This window comes from Homo sapiens, chromosome 6 (assembly GCF_000001405.40).
Source record: "Homo sapiens chromosome 6, GRCh38.p14 Primary Assembly".
NCBI classification, from domain to species: domain Eukaryota; kingdom Metazoa; phylum Chordata; class Mammalia; order Primates; family Hominidae; genus Homo; species Homo sapiens.
The window spans coordinates 170356514-170377522 of record NC_000006.12 but is presented as its reverse complement, the minus strand read 5'-3'; the positions used below and the strand labels follow the sequence as shown (position 1 = coordinate 170377522).

Here is a 21009-nt window from a genome sequence, read left to right as displayed (position 1 = left end):
AGCACCGAGCAGCGTGAGCCTGTGCTCTCCCAGGCATCTGGGATTAGGGACGCGTGTGCACAGCACCGAGCAGCGTGAGCCTGTGTTCTCCCAGGCGTCTGGGTTTAGGGACGCGTGTGCACAGCACCGAGCAGCGTGAGCCTGTGTTCTCCCAGGCGTCTGGGTTTAGGGACGCGTGTGCACAGCACCGAGCAGCGTGAGCCTGTGTTCTCCCGGGCATCTGGGATTAGGGACGCGTGTGCACAGCACCGAGCAGCGTGAGCCTGCGTTCTCCCAGGCATCTGGGATTAGGGACGCGTGTGCACAGCACCGAGCAGCGTGAGCTCGTGTTCTCCCAGGCATCTGGGTTTAGGGACGCGTGTGCACAGCACCGAGCAGCGTGAGCCTGTGTTCTCCCAGGCATCTGGGATTAGGGACGCGTGTGCACAGCACCGAGCAGCGTGAGCCTGTGTTCTCCCAGGCGTCTGGGTTTAGGGACGCGTGTGCACAGCACCGAGCAGCGTGAGCCTGTGTTCTCCCAGGCGTCTGGGTTTAGGGACGCGTGTGCACAGCACAGAGCAGCCCTGAGCTCGTGCTCTCCCAGGCGTCTGGGTTTAGGGACGCGTGTGCAAAGCACAAAGTGGCATTCCCCGCTTGCTCTACACGGAAACAGGCACTTCCTCCTCTTCTCTAGGGGGTTACCGAAACCCCTGTGCCAAGCACTCAGACTTCTATTTCTTACCAAGCAGGCGCTCCTCCTTCCTCTCCATGTTCCCATCTGGCTAGTCCAGATTTTCGGTTCACATTCGAACGCCTCAAAAGATGATCTCACTGTCTCTCCTGCCTCACCACTCATCCGTAACCAAACCACTCCAATCAGCCTCCGCTCCTCCAATCTCCTGGAATTGTTCTCAACAAGGTGAGCAGTGACCAAGGTTCAGGCCCAGTGGGTACTTACCGGTCTTTTCTTGCATACCGCTCTGCTGCACGTGGTCATCCCCGCATGCCAGCGCTCTCTGCTCTACCATTCCTCTAACGCCCCGCTGCCCGCCTCCCCCCCACCCCCGTGTTCCTCGACACTATGATCTCTGTGTTCACTGTCTTTCTGCTGGTCCTTCAATGAAGGTGTTATTCCCCTTGGCTTACTGTCCTTATCACACTATATGTGTATCTCTCAACTGAACCTCATTCTTATCTATTTACAAAGACATATGTCTTATGCTTCCCAAATCTTCAATGCCAAACTCTCTTACAAGCTTCACACTTCCAGATCTGTCTGGAAACAGATCTCATACACAGTCCTCACAAAGCTGACTTCATCACCTCCTCCCCTTGTCTGTTAACCTACCTTAGAGACCCGAACTAGAGAAATAGTAACCACACTAGGGCCTCCTCCTTGTATCTCATGCTGTAATAATGATGAGGGCCTAGCAATTTCACTTCCTGAACATGACCTGCCATCTCTCTCTTCATCTCCACCTCCAGTTCTGCTGTCCCAGGTAATTCATTACAGCTCCCCGTGTATCTGGGCAAGGCTCCTCACTGAATTCTCTGGCCTTTTTAGGGCCACCCATCTGTGGCTCCCAAACACCCCAGGGAATTTCTATGCTCTCTCTTCACAAACAGTCCCGCTCCTTCCCTTGTTCTTACCTCTGACTCATTAAATCCTACCCACCCTTTATCGATCTAGTCCAGAAGTCACTTCCTCCTTGGAGTCTCTGAGACATCTTCTATGCCCAGACGGGGACCATCCCTCGTCCCTGCATCCCGCCGTGCCCTGTGCGTCTCCTATGCAGTTCTCGCCCGCTGTACTTACTTTCTTAGGACTCTGAGCTCTCTGAAGGACCTCCTTGCCATATCTTCTCTGTACCCCTCCTCACAAGTCTGGCACATCACAGGAATTCAAATTTCTACTGAATAAATGAGTTTGCTGATTAAATATCAGAACATGATATACTGATTCTTTATCAACTGGGGCTGCTCAATTAATGAATGAGTGGAAGTGTCTTTATAGGGAAATATGCTGATTCCATTTTAGAACACAATGCTTATTTGCAAGGACACAATTATTAACTTACTGTGTAATAGGCCAAGATTCTTACTCAACATACGTCCTTTGTAGGCAAAAGCAAACCACAATAAGCCTACCCTGACCTGAGACGCTTGTTGTTAAGAACAACAGATAACCTGAGAACTGTGTTTTGCCAACAGTCAGTTTCCACCCTGAAGGAATGGACTTCACAAGGCCTTTGCTTTGTGAGGCCCTGTTGCCTATGTGCTGTGTGATTACAAACATTCCACAGTCGGTTATTTAGAAAGATACTGAAATTGCGGAACTCTGTGCTGACACACTGATTACAGCAACAACCACAGATTGGACCTACTTCATATGAACACTTTAACCACCAGCTTAGGGACCATCCCTGAGTTACAGCAGAGGGAGCCCTGAACTGGAAGCCCCAGCTCTCTCACCACCTGGCCAAGGGGCTGAAAGCAGGTGATGCCACTTCTGTGGGTTGTGGTGATCTCATCTGTGCAATGAAGAACTGGATTTGGTTCAGCTCAGTCACCAACAGCTGACAACTACTGAACCAAGTGCAAATGTGGAAGTCCTATCCTCAAGAAATTAAAGTATAATGGAAATAAAGACAGATGGCACCAAACTATCATCTACTGATGTGCTCTGACGGCCCTTCACGGGTAAAGCTGCTATGACATGCTGCAACAAGGACAGGTGAATACTCCTTAGGAATGTAAAGTGACATCACCCGTTCATCTAACAGATGCCATCCTGGGTCAGACACCCGACCAACAATGCCCTATTCATGGCACTAACACTGAGTGAAGGGAAGAAGAAAGGTGATTATTTCCCATACTGAAAACTGAAAAGTTTGCTCTTGAAAATAACCTGGCCTAAATGACAAGACGTGTTCATTCTTAGAAGTCAGGGTGTGCTCTGAACGAGTGTTACGTGTGGGTAAGTTTTTCAGTGAAAGAAAGCCTCAACGAGTCAATAATAAACATTAAACAATTCTGTTCCAAGCAGGAACTTGCAAACTCCTGGTGCAAGAGCATCAAGAAGCAATGAGATCTCGTCTCGGGCAGAGTAAATGGCTGAAATGGAACTTGCTGGGTCCACACCAGTTCACCCTGTTCTTCCTAAATACACCGACTTCTGTCAGGTTCATTCAAGCTAAAAGTCAACCAAACTTTCCATGCTCCCATTTCACAATTTACGTATAATTTACCTCTTTTATTTCTCTACCTCAAAGAATTACACATATGATCAAATCCAAAATGGGCAAAACAACCAATGGAGGATTTGAGGGGCGAGGAGCCAGTAGGACACAACCTGAGACGTGCTCTTGCCAAGTCAGAGAACTTACTGCGCGGAGTGGTGTCAGGACCAGAGGGGAAGTTTAACCCAAGATGCTTTTTATAGACATTCAGTTTCCTCAACAAGGCTTTCTTTTGCTGCTACTCTAAGCAGAAGTGAGGGTAAAAAATCCAGGTAGAACTGAGGAATGATCTGGCATGCCAGCAGCACCGTGTAAACAATCCAGGTAGAACTGAGGAATGATCTGGCATGCCAGCAGCACCATGTTGGTGCTGGGGGCTCTGGGATGCTGGGTTTGCATATTCTGTGATTTGGTACCTGGGCATTTATATCCGGCATCAACAAGAACACCTATGCTCTTTTCCTGTGCTTCTGGAGGTCTGGGAGACAGAAGATACTATTTTAAAAGTGTGTTCATTGCAAAATTCTTATTTCCCAGATAATATACTGTAAAAGTGCTTCTCAGGCCTGTTTGCCTTGTGCTTTTACTTTTCTAATTATAACGTAAGCTTTATAAAGTAAATTACACCTCTTCTCGGCAAATTTCTGTTAGGAGGTCCATACCAAAAACACTGTGCGGTAACCTTGGGACTTGTGAAAAGCTTGGTAACAAAGACCAATTTTCAAATTACTAATCAAACAGAAAAAACAACTAATTTAAGCTAACTGGAGTTACATTGGGAGACAGAACATTTTCACAGCCTGCAGGAGTAAAATCTGAGGATCTGAGGTTATCTTTTCAGCAACAGAGAAAGTCACCTGGTGACTCTCCTTCCCTAAGGAACTCTGGAATTTAGGGAACATTCTGGGAGCCCAAGTCAGCGTGACAGAGGGTTGGCCCCAGGTCTAAGGCTCACATCACCACTTCAATATGATTGAAAGGTATGGCCTTTGGCTTGTCCAACCCAATGAATAAAATTCGTAAATAAAAGTAGCCTGTATTTTGGAAATAGGGTTTAAGGTGCTCTGGAATAAAAGACAAGGAAAGCTGAGCTCTTCCTGCTGAGGCCATAGAGTCCAGGGTCCCAGGGCATCTGATGGGAACCAGGAAACTGGAAAAACCAGTTCTTAAAGTTCCTAAAACCTGACAGTAAATATTGAACAGTAAACAGCTCAACTGTTTTTGTGTTTATATGCTAAGGAAGGTTCATTTACTAGGGTTTATTGGCAGTTATGTAAAATGATACTTGTATGAACAAAACTGCTATTTTAAGTTTCAGATATTGCTTCATCAGGGTGCTTGTCCTACAAGTTGGCGGAAATCTAAACAGAGGGAAAACATTATGAATACATTGTTATTTATTAGTAAACAAAACAGCAAAAATAAACTGATTTTCTTTGGTCCAAAAGGCCTAGTTTGATTTTATAACTAAAATTCTTTCTCTTCACTAGAAGTCTTCCGATTGTAGTTGGGCACAGTCTTACAGAACGTAAGCGAGCGCCAGTGCAGCTTCTACTCATGTCCAGCTACTCCTCAGCCTCCTTTAGCAGGGGCAGGAGGAGCCAAAACCTCCCATGTTGGTAAAGATGCTCCATGAGGGCAGAACCCACCAACCCAGCAGCACTGCAGTTAACACCTGCACTCATCTGAGATTCCCATGCTGTATCTGACAGCTGTCTAAAAGCCCACACAGTATTTACCTAAGGAAACAGCATGGCTCTGAGTTACAACTGTCAGTTCATAAAATTAGACTATCTTCTAAGAACGCGCTCACATTCAAAGAATCACAGAGCCGGATGAGACAGGAGCACAGCCAGGCAAGGCTGAATTTAAATCCCACCCCCCCGCCCCTGTAGATACTACCATCATCTTGGAATAATTTACGTTAGTCAAACCGCTTTCATTAGATGTCTCTGAAATACTAATCTCAGTGATTCCTAATAGATTTAATCACTCTTTTAACATTAATATAATTAAAATAGTGTATGTAAGCAGTACCTGAATTGAGGCTTTCTTAGCTTTTAGGACTAAATCAAGTATAAAAAATCATTCTTAAAAAAAATTTTAATTAAAACTGAGAGTAAACAAATTACTCAGACCGCATGAACCATGTTCTTATCAAATGGCAAAACAAGACACTGTATGTCTAGATAGAAAATAAGCTCTTATTATTCCTAACGAAAATTTTATTTTACTCATATCAGTAGGATAAACTCTTTAAAAATAACTGAATAAATATGAGAGTCAACTACCTACTTTCACGCTTATTTTTTCTGTTTTTCAATTTCCTGACTCACTTAACACAGGGAAAACGGCAAGAAAAGATGAATTTCTTGAAAACTGCGTGAAGGTCCTGAGCCAGGCCCTCGGTTATTTGGTTTCCATCTCTTCTCTGCTCCAAGCCTGAGGGTGGCAGCTGGCGCCAGGCGCTGCTCTTGGGACTTGCAGCTGCAGCCTCCTGGCCAATCATCTCTTACTTCCTGTCTCGGAACGAATGGCAGACACTCTTCAAGGCCTGACTCCTGAAGACTCACGTGCTAGGAGCACAGAGGGGGCTCTGACCACCAGGCCTCATTTGACAAGTGCTGACTGTGAGATGTTTTTTGCTTTTTTCTTCAATTAATCTTTCTGGAGAATTTCTTTTTTACCCTTTTGCATCTTAAGGTGGAGGTTTTTATTCCAAATGTTTTTTACACACAATTCTTGAAACTCCTGAATTCAATGACAGCTTCTTATCATGGCAAAAGGTACATATCAAAAAAACAGAAAAGCTTTAGTTACTAACATCCGAGGGGGATGTCATTCCACATATTTAAGGAAATTGCTAAGCAGGTCCACACAAACACTTGTAAAGAAAGGTTCATAGCAGCATTATTCACAGGGCCAAAAAGTGAAACTACCAAGTGTCTCTCAGCTGATGACAGACAAACAAAACATCGTCCATCCACACAACCCTCAGCCACTGAGAACCTGGGAAACACAGTGCTCAGTGAATGATGCCAGACACGAAAGGCCACAAACTGTGCGATGTCATGTTTATGAAATGTTCAGAACAAAGAAATCTACAGAGGCAGAAAATGGATGAGTGGTAGACAGGGGCTGAGGAGTGTGGGGCTGGGGCTGGGGGGAGGGAGACTGCATAAGAGGTAGAGGTTTCTTTTTGAGGTGACAAAAAGGTTCTAAAATTGATTGTGGCTGAACAACAACTCTGTGTTCAGAGCCATTAAATTGTACACCTTAAATGGGTGAACTGTATAGTTCATGTGACTTTGTCTAAATAATGTCTGTCTATCCATCCATCCGTATTGAGATATATATACACCATTTCTTGCTTGGTGGGGTGGTGGCTCAGTGTTGACTCCCGCCTGCACACAGGGCCAAGTGCTGCAAATTCTACTGCAGTATCTCCCGTCTGTTAGAGACGCACAACCATCCTGAGACCTCAGCATAATGAAGAATAGGAATAATTGTATTTATACATGTAAAGCTACAGGAAGAAACCAAGTTTAAAAGAATGTTAAGGAAAACAAGTCCTTAAAGGTGTTAGAAGGCGAATCTTTATAAGAAATGCGGTGAGGTAATATCTGAACTGCTGACTGCAGTTCTGCTGTTCTTCCCCTTTACTGCCTTGCCCCGCCCTCTTTAGTCATTTAGGACATCCCACAATGACAGGTACAGGATCAGAGGGTAATATTACCGAGTTCTGGCTTCTGAGTTTAGGTTTAACCCCCAGAAGAACTTCAAAGAACTCAGATCTTCCAGAGCACGACTGGACAGCAGCTCCTGGAACCAGGAAAGGCGAGAGGAAGCCAGGGGCACAGAGAAACTGGGAGCCCTACAGAAACAGGGTCCTCTGCCTCACCCCCCAGAGGAAGGGTGATGGACCCTCAGGTGGCTGGGGCATCTTAGAGCAGACCATCACTTTCCCTGTCTTCCACAAAGAGCTCGGGGACGTAGCTGCGTCTCAGAAAAGAAAGGTCTGCATGGACTGTCTGGGCAGCAAGGGCCCCCTAAGGTGCCACTTAGCACATGTGGGAGCAGGAGGACACAAGGCCTGGGGGCCGCCCCGCTGGGGAAGTCTGTGAGGTGCAGAGAGCAGGGCCAGGAAAGCTCAAGGGCAACTGAGAGTCTCCGTCTCACCTCTGCAATGTCTCTGCGATAAATTTCTGCCGACTCACAGAATGGGTTTAAAAGAGAAATTAGATTGCTATATTCAAAAAAGGTACATTTTTTGTAAAATTGAAATTACATCCTGAAATTTGCTTCTGCTGTAGAAAAATAAGTTACATGTGAAAGATTCTTATTCACGAAGATAAAATCCATCTACCAGCATTATAGCATAAACTCTTAAGTATAAGATTTATGGACATATTCAGCAAACTGACAATTAATTATTGAGTACCTACAAGGTGCAAAGGTTCCATGGAAATTATAAAAGACTCAGTTTCCACCCCCAAGTAACTGAGCTCTCCTGATTCCAAGAACATAGACATACTTCTCTTAAGATTCTCCAGGACAAGAGAAACCTCCTATCTAGGAGTCAGGTATGGGAGCAGGAAAAAAAAAAAAAAAAAAACTACCCTAAGTTTGCTGAGGCAAAGGTCACCCGAGGAGTGCCACAGGCTACATCCAGTGGCGGGTTCAGCCCCGGGGCCTGCCCCAGCACTGCTGGCAACACCTGGAACCTTTATCATGAGAGACCTTTCCAGTTGACTTCCTCACTCTCTCCAAACTGGACTCGGAATTCTCTGCTTTCTGCTATAGTCCTTCTTACCTTTTCTTGCTTCCTCATAGAGATCACATTTTCTCAAACACGTATCAAGATCTGTAGCAGGAGACACCTACTACAATTATGAGGACTATGGGCAAAGTCAGTGAAAGTGGGGCCCTGCTGCCAAGTCCAGGAGGCAGACGCACTGCACAGCTGGTTCCAGGCATCCTGAGTTCTCAAAGTCCTTTCCTAGGTTCAAACGCAGCCACAAACCTCTCTTCTCTCTTGGCCTGTGAAAATTCTGGATAAATACTGGAAAGTCTATGTGCACAAGAGAGAATAAAAGTGAGGAAAAATATGAATACTAATTTCTTTTGCTTTGTTCATTTGCTTTCTTTTGCTTTGTTCATTTCTATCTTATCTCATTTAAGCTGCTGAGGGACTCATCAGTCATCTTCTGTGTTTACAGAAGCCCAGTAAAACATTCAAGATTTCTATTTCTACTGCTACGGGCAAATACGTCCTTCCAAAATTTCTTATGCTGAAGGCTAAATCCCCAATGGGATGGTAATTGGAGGTGGGGGCCTATGAGAGCTGATTGGCTCATGGTGGGGGGGTGGGGGGCACCCTACCAAAGCAGGTGAGTGCCCTCAGGAGACTGCTCTCTGCTCTCCAACCTATGAGGACATAGTGAGAAACTGGCTGCCTGCAAGCCAGGAGGGAGCCCCCCCCCCAGCCCCGGCAGACAGCAGAGCTGCTGGCACATGGATCTTGGACATCAAGTTTCCAAAACACTGAGAAGGGAATGTCTGTGGTTTTAGGCCACCCAGTCCGTGGTGTTTTGTTATGGCAGCCCAAACTGACCAGTACATCTACTATTCATTCATTCACCAAATTTTTATTGAGTGCCCAATAATGAAAGCATTTTTCCTTCTTTAAAAATTGTATTTCTTCTGTGAACTTGTGTAGGGAAGTAAAAACATTTTTGTAAATATCTCCTTGAAAACATATTACACAATCCTGTATTTTCATGGTTGTCTTAGGGATTTAATCGGTAAAGCGCCATCTTAACGGCTTGATCTCATTATGTCTTCAAAGCATTTTGATTCTGCCTACAGAAAAATATTCAATTTGTAAAGTGAGAATTCACCAAGAGCAGCACTGAGTAAAGATCTTTTATGAGAAGGTTTCTAAATCTGCTTTTGACACATGGCATACCTGCTTATCACTTTAGAGGTGTCTCACTGTCTGGTGAGAAGACAGGAAGTAAAGGGAGTGCATGGTGGAACTCGGAACCTTGGCCTTTTGATCAGCTCAGACATGCACTATACCTTGACCTGGTGCAAACCGTTCCACTAATCTGAGCCTAAAACCCTGGTCTATAAGACAAAAGTGCTTGACTGAACTGTCTCTAAGGTACCACTGTGCTCTGAACCAACAGGCAACATTACACTTCAATATTAAATCACACAACATACATGCATATTGAAACATTTCACTGTACCCCATAAATATGCACAATTATTATGTCAACTGGAAACATGACTTCATCTTAAAAAGGCACTTGATGCTTGTAAGGCCCCCTAATAGGTGTGAGGAGATCCATGTGAGTCAGCCACAGCCCTACCCCTACAGACTCCCAAATCCAGGTTTTATCATGGCGAGGGTCTTTGTGTAGGAGAATTAGGTGGAAGTGGAACCAAGAGTCAGGGAATTTATATCCTCACTTCAGCTCCTTTATAAGGACCAATGCCAAGACACATAATTATATCTTCATTTTTCTAAGAATAAGATAGGACTTAATTACCTCAAAGGAATGACATGAAAACTAACTACCAAAGCCCTCTAATGTCTTTAAAACTTGCTACATTCACGCATGGGGTTATTACTGTCACTGTGTGTGCGTGCAGACCTGGCTGCAGGAGGGGCACAGAGACAAAAGCATGGGGCTCCCCATCCTGCCGTCTCCCCGCGGACTTACCTGCTGGCTCCAGCCAAGGGTCAGCACGCTCTTCTGGAAAGAGCCAGATGGAAACACTTTTGGCTTTGTGGGCCATATGATGTCTCTCGCAGCCGTTCAACTCTGCTGTTGCAGGGCAAAGGCAGCTGCAAATGACTGAGCATGGCTATGTGCCAAGAAAACCATTTCGGACATAGAAATTTGCGTTTCATGTAATTTTCACATCATGGAATATTATTCTTTTGACTTTTTCCCTAACCATTTAGAAACAAACACCATTCTTAGCTCACAGGCTTCACTACATGCTGGTGGCGGAATGTGGCCTATGGGCGATAGTCTGGTAACCCCTGGTTGAAGCTTTTGACAAAGTGAGAGTATCATTATCATTTAAAGTTTCATTAATTTGTAGCAAAATAAAAATATCATTTGGAGATTCAATGGCATAGAATTATTTTTATTTTCAACTTCTACTGGTGAGTTTTATAGCTAACCTAAAAAGAAAAATTTGTTTAAATCAGAATTGTCACAATTTAAAACAAGCTTAAAAGTGACTTATTCTAGGTTAATGAACTGTTTCTGGTGAGAAGAAAAGGATCAAAGCAGTGTGGGCTCAGATGCAATGAGCATGTTCTACCTCATTCTTCTCTCATCAAAGTCCTGAATATGAATATGGCAACAAGAAAGAGAAAAAAAAAATCTAAAAAATAACATGAGCTTATCCGAGGCTGGGCAGGGCGGTGAGTGTGTGTGTCCTGACCTGAGGCCATAATCAACAGGACTAGGGGAAGATCAAGGCCCAGAACACTGTTCACTTTGTGTACTCATGCCGACAAAGTACTCATTTGTTGGATAATGTCACAATGTTCTTCTCAACAGCCTGCTGTCCCTGGCTACGCCTCACCTAGTCTTTCACCCTCTAAGCCTTCGCTGGCTCCTCTCAACCCCCATTCACCCCACACCAGAGACCATGCTGGCCCTGAGCTCTCTCCACTCCACCCCTCACCTCCCAAGTGAAGCTTCCCCTCCTGTGGGTGACATGGGCCCCTGACGGGTGTAGGCCACCAGGGGAACCCCACTCAGGTGCGCTCACACGCCACTCTCCCTCATGCCCTGGCACCTGCCCCTCAGAGCACAGGTCCAGCCAAATAGACTCAGCTGCCTGCCCCTCCCCACTTGCCATTCCCCTTCCCGGCCACCCCCACTTCCCAGATGCAATGGAGAGACTCCTACTCTTTCCTAGGAGCCAGCAAGGCTCTGCCAAGGCAACTGGCCAGAACCTAACCGCTTCCCCCACCCATGAGTCCCAGCTCTCAGCTCCCCACACACCAAGCTCTCGTCTCACCAGGATAACTGGGGAGGCCTTTGCTTCCCTTTCAGCTTTCAGGCAGCAGAATCTAACTCCCAAGAACAACGATTTAGTGCCACCTCCCAACAGCTGCAGAGAAACTTGTATTATATCTTGAGAGTCTGGATGTGCAACATGCCACTGAATGACAGAATGCCACTGAGTCTACATTTTGCTTATTTATCTATTTTTTCGTACAAGACTTAGGCTCCAAGCATTTTCCCACAGAGAACAAGAAACAGCTCACTGCTGTTATGATTGTGAGGAGTTCCTGCTCTGTCCCCTTTGCATTTCTGGCCAAGGGTCCTTTTACCAACACCTGCTGAGCCTGTCACAGACCACCCCACCCGATGGTGATGGCAGGCGGATAAACACTTGCACCAACTGGCCAGGCTTTGCAATTCTGATAGTCTCAAAAAGGGTGTGTGTTCCTTCCGTGATTCCAGCAGAGCCCTGCTCCAGGCAGCCTGTGGGGGAGGCGGGGTGTCAGGGGCCGAGCCCTGCTCCAGGCAGCCTGGCAGGGGGGAGGGGGGGGAGGGAGGGGTGTGTGTGTGTGTCAGGAGGCCCGTGCTCATGCCTCTCTACCACTGCCACCACCCAGTTTTGCCAACTCTTTGATTTGAATTCCCTCAGGAGGACACATCTAGTTCACGAACAGAAAACATCTGGGCTTTTTTCCTGGGCAATTCTTTCCTCCATGGGTTCATGCTTCAGCATCTGCTATCATCAAAAGCACTGTCTGCAACCTCTTTCTTCAGGTGGACATTATTTGAGAACAAGGGGCAAAACCAAAGGGTGAAGTCCAAGACACAACTTTAGTTTCAAACAGCCAAGAATGCATGACATAGACCACAGCTGTCATCCCTAGTAAGGCGAGAAGGAACCCTGCAGACCAAGCAGCAGATGAACCTAGACTCTTTTCTGCCACCGTCTTGAGAAATCCCCACAGCCAGCATGAATCCTCGTCCTCCATGTTCAGACATAAGCCTCTCATTAGCCTTGGTTTATGACATTTTGGTCTCAGAAAATCCAAGTGGGCTCAAAGTCTGACCACCTTCACACACACACAAATACGTATTCAATTCCATGTGGGTAAAGTGCCAGGAGGGAGCTGTAGGAGACAGGAGATGGCCTAGGGCTCAGCCTGACTGGGGGTTTCGGCAGGAGTACGTGCCCCAGGCACACCACGCCCTTTTCTGCACTCTGCCCCATCCTCTCCTCCTCTCATTCTGATGTTGTAAACTCCAGAGCCCTAGCTTTGCTTTTCAACCCAGAAGTCAATCCAGTGAATCAGAAAATCATCCCATGGTCATCTATATGAACATGTACGAAAGGGCTTTTAGCTTCACCAACTGTAGGTCTCACTCACCACTGCAATCTACAAGCTCATAGCATTTCCAGGTAACAGAGGGGTGAGAAATGAAAACGCCACCACAGTTATCTGAAGAGGATGATCTTGGGGAGGAAAGAAAGGCATGCCAGCATCTGTGTTTCAGCAGCACCAGCCTCTGAAGGGCCCCCAGGCATCCCTGTCCCAAGTGCCCCCATCAGCTCTTGAGACTAGAATTGTAGAGAACCCCAGAGAGAGGTGTCAGAGGGAGCTCTGCAAAGATGGGGCTTTGTCTAGACACCTGCTTTGTATTTGCACAAACACTTTGCTGAACCAGACAGACTCTGCCTGTCTCAGCAAATGCTCATGTATACTTTTAAATTGCAGGTATCCATTTAATGAAGTTAATCAATGTTGGCAGGATGCTGGGTGCTGGAAAATAAAGAGGAGCAAGAACACTGTCCCTTTCCTCAAAGGGGCATTAGTCTAGGAGAGAAGGGAAACTGAAAACCCTAAGTGGGACACTCTGGCTTCTCACCCACGAGTCCCCCTCAGAACACACACCAGACCAACCTAGCCAGGACTCTGGGATAGTGACTTGGCATGTGGATTCAGAACAAGGCCCACAGTGTGAAAGGTGCTGCTGAACAAAGATAAATAAAAGGGACATCGCAGGCTCAAAGGAGAAGAGGTCGGAGAAGGTGGAGGAGACTCAGGGCCCCTGGATATGGAAGTTGGGCATTTTTCAGCCTTTGCTTCAGTGACTTCATGCAATGGAAGGGGCAGGCATCTCTCTCAGTGACTGAACAAGGGGAAATGCAGCACAAATCACCAGCACATAGCCACATCCCAAAAAAACAAAACACATTTTTAAAAAATTATGTTTTGGCTGGGCGTGGCTGCTCATGACTGTAATCCCAGCACTGTGGGAGGCTGATGCAGGCCCATCACTGAAGGTCAGGAGTTCCAGACCAGTCTGGCCAACATGGTAAAACCCCATCTCTATTGAAAATACAAAAATTAGCTGGGTGTGGTGGTGCATGCCCGTAATCCCAGCTACTCGGGAGGCTGAGGTTGCAGTGAGCTGAGTTCGCGCCACTGCACTCTAGCCTGGGTGACAGGGTGAGACTCTGTCTAAAAAAAACAAAATAAAACATGATGTTTAATAAGTGCTTTCTTGATATAATCTCACTGTAGGAATGCCATGTTTCGCTGGTGCACACACTATCACAGCACAGTGATTACCAAGGAAATGGAGATCCAGAATTACTTTATTGTTATGATCCTGTAATCAAAATAAAGTAAAAACTGGGGCTTCAGGCCTTGCCTGGGACCTGTATTTTCACTAAAAGCTGCTACTGGCATAGACAATGATCAGTCATCACACTCTATGTTAACAAACACAGCACACACAGCTTGCTGTTTTCTGAGCGCCCCAGCAGGCCCCAGGCCAAGCTGTGCTGTACAAGGCAGAGGACGATGCTGCTGACACAGGTGTGACTTGCTGCACTCGCCATGCACACCAGGGACAGCGGTGGGTACGAGGCAGCCACATGCAGGGGAATCTTAAGAAGATGGCTTGAATTTTATAGTAAAATTTTATCTTTCATCAACTCACATCTTTTCCTTTTAATTTTCCAACCAAAAAATGACCAAGAACTTCCCAATGATTAGCTATGAGGCACTAGAAAAAGTGGCTAAGGTACCAGCTCATGGAGTTCTCAGTGTGTAAGAGACGGAGCCAGAATTCCCTAACAGTCAGAGCCTCCACCTGGAGAGCGGGCTGGAGACAAAGCCAGCAGGAGGAGGGGTGATGGTTTTGTGGCTTTCAGAGCCCTGACACGGCAAAGATAAACTGATGGGGCAAAGAAAGGCAGAGGAATTTCTCGGCTTTTTCTCCAAAAAGAGAGCAAGAGCTCATTTATAAAATCATCATTGCCACGGTGGTGGCTCCTGCCTGTAATCCCAGAACTTTGGGAGGCTGAGGCAGGAGGATTGCTTGAGCTCAGGAGTTCGAGACCATCCTGGGCAACATAGCAACACCCCATCTCTCAAAAAAAAAATACAAAAATTACCTAGGCATGGTGGTGTGCGCCTGTAGTCCCAACTACTAGGAAGGCTGAGGTGGGAGGATGGCTTGAGCCTGGGAGGCAGAGATTGCAGTGAGACAAGATTGTACCACTGTACTCCAGTCTGGGCAACAGAGCCAGACCTTGTCTCAAAAAAAAAAAAAAAGAAAAAAGAAAGAAAACAAATTATTATTATTATTGCACCCTGGGATGAGAGCAAAATGACTTCTGAGCACACACCATGTGAGTGCACACACTGGGCCTGGACCCACGGCAGTATACGTAGTACACACTCCACTCTGCTCAATGAGAGAATAACGGCAACCATGGCATCGTGTTCTACAGAGGACTTTACAAAATGATCTGGGCCTGTATCAGATTCTTACAGAACACTGGGAGAGTGGCAGGTAGACAATTATACCTCTTTCCACATTCCTAGACAGTACATGGTATGCCCACTGACTGCAGACAGAAGCCTGAACCAGGATGCTGGACTCCAGGCCCACAAGGGCACCAGCTGTGGAGAGCTGGATGGCAACAGGAGAGTGATCCATAACCTTGAATGTCCACAGAAACATTCCTCCTGTCACATCAATAAGCAGGGTACTGAGGGTGCCAGAGTTCATGTCCTCTTCTGCCCTGTCTCTACCTCCCCCCTTCAAGTTGTTTGAAGAGGGAGACCTCACAATTTACTGGTCCATAATATAATTCAGCCTATTGCTTAATTTACTTTACTTCTGTACTATAAAGAGATTCTGGTCAGATGTGGTGGCTCACACCTATAATCCTAGCACTTTCAGAGGCTGAGGTGAGTAGATCACTTGAGGTCAGGAGTTCAAGACCAGCCTGGCCAACATGGTGAAACCCTGTCTCTACCAAAAATACAAAAATTAGCCGGGTGTGGTGGTGTGTGCCTGGAATCCCAACTACTCAGAAGGCTGAGGCATGAGAATCAGTTGAACCCAGGAGGTGGAGGTTGCAGTGAGCTGAGATCACGTCACTGCACTCCAGCCTGGGCAACAGAGCGAGGCTCTGTCTCAAAAAATTAAAAAAGAAAGATTCTAACTTAAATCCTACATACATCTATACGTATGTGTATGTATGATCACAAGGGTTGTACACACTATGTATGAAGGATCACATGTCCTATTCAAAGTTCAGTCGAGCAGGTATGTTCTCTAGAACCATACACTAGAAGCTCACACTGAAAGTTACAGACATGAATAGGAAAACTGGCAAACACATAACTGGCACTCAGAGACCTAACTACAAAGGGAAAACAACTGCCATCATTTCTGCTCACAGGCCTGTCCTTGGTATCCAGAAAACAGCAGCCTCCCGTCACGTGCACAACTATCCTTTGTCCTTTACTTTTAAAAGTCATGTTTTGGTTTTCTTAAACTGTAAGTAATACTGCTTTCCTTCTTTCTTCTTTCCTTTACTTATAACATTATTGCAGGTTAAGGGTTCTTGTATTCTTATGTATTTCTATGTAGGTAAATGAATGTGTATATACATAAATATGTACTATGCACCTTTACACATATAATCCAGTCACCTAAATTTTTAATATGTATGTAACTATATATATACACGTATATATATATATACGTGTATATATATATATATATATATATATATATATATATATACACGTATATATATATAGTTTTAAGGCTATATTTGAGTAGGAAAGTAATGTTGGGCAAAGAACTAATAGGGTGTTTTAAAATTCACTATGAGCAACAGTGACTTACCCACTGCCAGAAGAGCCACCTACCCAACAGTGGCTGGTGACACCAGGGCACACACCTCTGTGGCTCAATTAGCTCATTATTGAGAAAGCCACTGCGAACTCCCAATGCAATACGACTGCAACGTGAAGCAGTCAGAACAGAGTCAGGCTGTGGGGAGGCTGCACCTGGACCCAACTCCTTCCCCAAACCACATCTCCACCTTTCACAGGAGGGAGCCAGCAGGGCTGCTGAGTGGTGACTCTGCCCTACCTAGGATTTCAAGCCAGTCCTTGGCTGGTGGGGAGATGAACGAAACTCACTTTCTGTTCTTAGTGCCATGGTTTGTTAGAAAAAACGCCCTCCTTGTGGAAGCATTTTCCTAAGTGACCTCAGGGATCACAAGCTGCCCAGTCACAATTCTCAGAAGGAACCAATGATTAATAATAATTGGCACAGGTCCCACTTCTAACAGAACAGAACTAGAAGCATGGGACAAGTCTCTGCTACGTTTGTATACGCCAGTGCTGCTGAGTGGATGGCTGAGGGGAAGTGGCCTCTGTGTGATGGCTGCGTACTTATGGGAGTGCTTTTAAAACCAACCTTTTTCTACAGCATCTTTATTTAATCATGTCTTTCTCATGGAAAGTGGCAGCATGGCCAGAACCCCGGACAGGGTGTCAAAAGCCTGGCTCTACTTTAGCCTTGCCAATTACAACATGGCAAGGGTGTGCACATCCACGGGGTGTGGAAACGAAGATCGAATGCACTAAATGCCTACGAAGAACAGTACACCTTCTGCTGCATTTAAATCTTGGTTTCTTCATTTTACAAATGAGAGGACACTGAGGCACACAGAAGTTTGGTTACTTGCCGTATGTCCTTAAGAACCTGCTCAAGACCCCATAGCTGGTGAAGGGTAGACCCAGCTCCCTCATCTGTGTGACTCTCAGACTCCAGTGCTATGTTGCCCACATGGCCTAGGACCAGAGAACAGGACCCAGGGTTCCTTTCTGTAATACTTCTGTCTTGTTGTTTAATTCTTCTGACAGGGAAGAGGGGAGCAGGTGAGGCCCCCAGACTATAATGGAAATGGCTCAGCAGCTGCTACAAACACCCACAGCCAATGGCAGCCACAACCAGGGCCCAGGAGGGAGGCCAGGGCTGCCGCTCGGCGTGAAGAATGCACATTAACCTACTGATAACTTAAAATTAACATTTTAAAATTCTGTTTTTGCTTAATGGAGGAAAAAAAGGCCACTTTTTGGATACTGATGCTATGAAATTTCTAATACAAAAAAAAATCTGGCATTGTTCATTAGTTGGACTGCTATGCTATGAGAATTAGTTTATGAATGAAACCTAGTATTGAAAGTTGTGGCCGGGTGTGGTGGCTCACACCTATAATCCCAGCACTTTGGGAGGCCCAGGCGGGAGGATGGCTTGAGCCCAGGAGTCTGAGACCAGCCTGGGCAACATAATGAGATGTCGTCTCCACACACACACATGTACACGCACATGTACACACACACATATAAATTAGCCAGGGTGGTGCATGCCTGTGGTCCCAGCTACCCAGGAGGCTGAGGTGGGAGGCTCACTTGGGCCTATGGGGCAGAGGTTGCAGTGAGCAGGGACTGAGCCATTGCATTCCAGCCTGGGCAACAGAGTGAGTCTTAACACCAAAAAAAAAATAAGTTGTGAGGTGATTTTTTTTTTTTTTTGAGACAGAGTTTCGCTCTTGTTGCCCAGGTTGGAGTGCAATGGCACGATCTCAGCTCACATCAACCTCTGCCTCCCAGTTTCAAGCGATTCTATTGCCTCAGCCTTGCAAGTAGCTAGGATTACAGGCACACACCTGGCTAATTTTTGTATTTTTAGTAGAGATGAGGGTTCACCATGTTGGCCAGGCTGGTCTGGAACTCCTGACCTCAGGTGATCCACCCGCCTCGGCTTCCCAAAGTGGTGGGATGACAGGCGTGAGCCACTGCACCCGGCCTAAGTTGTGAGGTTTGAGTAAAAGCCATTTATAAATGAAACTTAGTTTTTTCCATTAGAAAAACAAGTAAAACGAATGCAACTAAACTACAGCTATGGATAAACCAATAACCACGATCAGATGGCATTGATAAAGCAGAATTTTAAGATTCCATCCACAGGTGACTTGACCTTGGGATATTCTAACAGGAAACAACACCCAGTACCCAGGTCCACAAGTGTGCAGCCACAGAGGAGAGCTGTGGAACTTAGCTGTGATTGGGCCATTTTGTGAAATTAAAGAAATAAGCACTCCCGGAGGGCATGTCTGAATACAAACAATAGAGGCTGCGGATCTCCCAGCTGAGGTGTACCCTCTCCCTCATATGAAGTTCTTTACTGAACGCTTGCCACAGCCAACGCGCCAGGAGGGATCCAGGAAGGTGCCAGGCGGCCCCACCCTTCAGCCAGCAGCCATCTGGGAGGCAGGCCAAGGGAGGGCCAAAACTGCTAACACCAGAAATTAATAAGGTTTATAGAGAACCACATAACCTATTCTCTTCAAATCACTAGCCTATAAAGGCAGTATTGAGAACTACAAGTTTCACAAAACTGGAACTGAGGCAGCACCTATTAGTACCTCATCTGGCTGCTCATCCCAGAGCCATTAAAGAGACGAAGACAAACTACTGCATCACGAAAAGATCCTGACTAAAATACCTTCCTGATCTTTTCTGTGAAACTTCAACTATAATGGGAAAGAGAAGGCTGGACTGCACAGCTGTCTTCCGGGCAGTGACAACTAACTGGTCACGTCTGTACCTGTAGATTTACAAGCTGCGAGGTGGATTTTCCTTGGAGGCACAAGGCCTGCGCAATAAACGCATGCAAATCCTCCAGGCAAAGCGTGTCCACCTGAAAAGGACAGAGAAAGGCCAGTGTTAGGCTACAGGAAAAATTAAACATTTCTTACAAATTGATCTCAGTTATTAACTATGAGTGTGTGTATAGGCGCAAACATGCACACACAGGCACGTACAGGCACACGCACAGGCACCCACATGTGCACACAAGCACACAGAGGTGCACACACATGGGTACACGCACAGGCATGCACACACACATGGGCACACATGTACACACACAGGTGTACACACAGGCACACGCACAGGTGCACAAACAGGCACATGCACAGGCACACACATGGTGCATCAGACCTCAGGCAGCAGACAGTATGCAGGTGGAAAGAGCACAGCCTCTTCACACCATCCTTGGCTCCTGGCTGTGAAGCTCTCTCTATGGTGTCCCCAGTTGTGCACACAACTCACAGCCCAGCTGGAAGGGGAGCCTGAATTTCTAGTCAGGTTAGACTCTAACAAGGCAAAACTCCGCAGAACATCTGGGAATAATCATGAGGTGCCAACCAAGACCAGGTCTTAGAGCCAGACAGTTGATCACGTTTGGGACAAATTGCACAGAGCAAACAGTTCAGGGGTTTTCAGAGAGCGAATATCCACAGCTGGGCTGAGCTGGGGTCATCATCCACTTTTGGCAACCTAGAGGAAACCTGTGTCCTCGAATCCTAGTTGAGAGTAAATCAGAACCCACAATATGAGACCCTACTAATCCTCTGTGGAATCAAGATGCAGCAAAAGTGAGAAAAGGAAGGAGGGACAGAGGAACAAGAGACAGCAAAGGACAGACTGAACACTGCTTGGTGTGGAGTAGATGATGGAGATAAGGAGAGGGCGTGAAGAGCGGGGAAGACACGGACGGTCCAGACCCCATCAAGAGCAGACGGTGCCACCCCTTCCCCTGCCCCACACTGTGAGGAGGTAGAGACATTCCTCTCCCAGCCACCGCGTTCAGCTACCCAGATAAAGGCAGGACGTGCCCGCTGACTGAACGACTCCACAGCATCCTAAGGCCGCAAGAGCTGCTTCTCTCAGAAGAGCACCTTCTGCGGCAAGTAAAGGCTCGCGGAAAAAGAAACAGAAAGCCAACAGCAGACCCATGAATAACAACTTCACTGATTCTTCTTGGATATTAAAAATGGCTAACATGCCTATTTGCAATAAAAACAACCCCACCATAAATCAGAAAGACTCCTGTGCTCCCCTGGAGGATGGCGGCATTTGCTTCCACCAGGGTGGGGGTGCTGACTGCTGCTTGGACCTGCCAATGCTCTTACTCACCATGTCACTATCCTAGTCCACTTTTATTCCAAGTAGGTATTACTTTGGAATAAAAGGAATATAAAATATATGCATTTCTATGATGTAAACTTACCTTTCCAGAGGATATTCTCAGATGAGTCTCTAATAAAATCATTTGTGGCTGTTGTTAACTGGGAGGTCAGACCAAATGAGAGTACAGTTGACCCCTGACAATACAGGTTTGAATTGCATGGGTTCACTTATATGTGGATTTTTTTTCAACCAAATGCAGATGGAAAAATACAATGTTCATGGGATGTAAAACCCGAATATAAAGGGCCAGCTTTTCAAATCTGTGGGCTCCACAGGCTGACCGCAGGACTTGAGGATGCATGGATTTTGGCATCCTTGGGGGTCCTGGGACCAATCCCTCACATATACCAAGACACAACTGTATTTAGTTTCTCTGTC

General features: G+C 46.2%; 1 protein-coding gene across 15 annotated transcripts in view; it reads right to left on the bottom strand.

Moving 5' to 3' along the window:
• Window positions 1-21009, bottom strand: part of FAM120B (family with sequence similarity 120 member B) — a 116365-nt gene that overhangs the window by 29545 nt on the left and 65811 nt on the right. For 5 of the 15 annotated variants that reach the window (NM_001286379.2, NM_001286380.2, NM_032448.3 and 2 more), the window contains one exon: window positions 19205-19297. The exons of 2 other annotated variants lie outside the window; for them this stretch is intronic. In NM_001286379.2, the coding sequence (NP_001273308.1) occupies window positions 19205-19297 (93 nt within the window). Of the gene's footprint in view, window positions 1-1795; window positions 1893-5303; window positions 5989-19102; window positions 19298-21009 lie in introns of those variants that run through there. 8 more of the 15 variants (XM_024446570.2, XM_017011358.3, XR_002956306.2 and 5 more) reach the window with 7 other exon arrangements.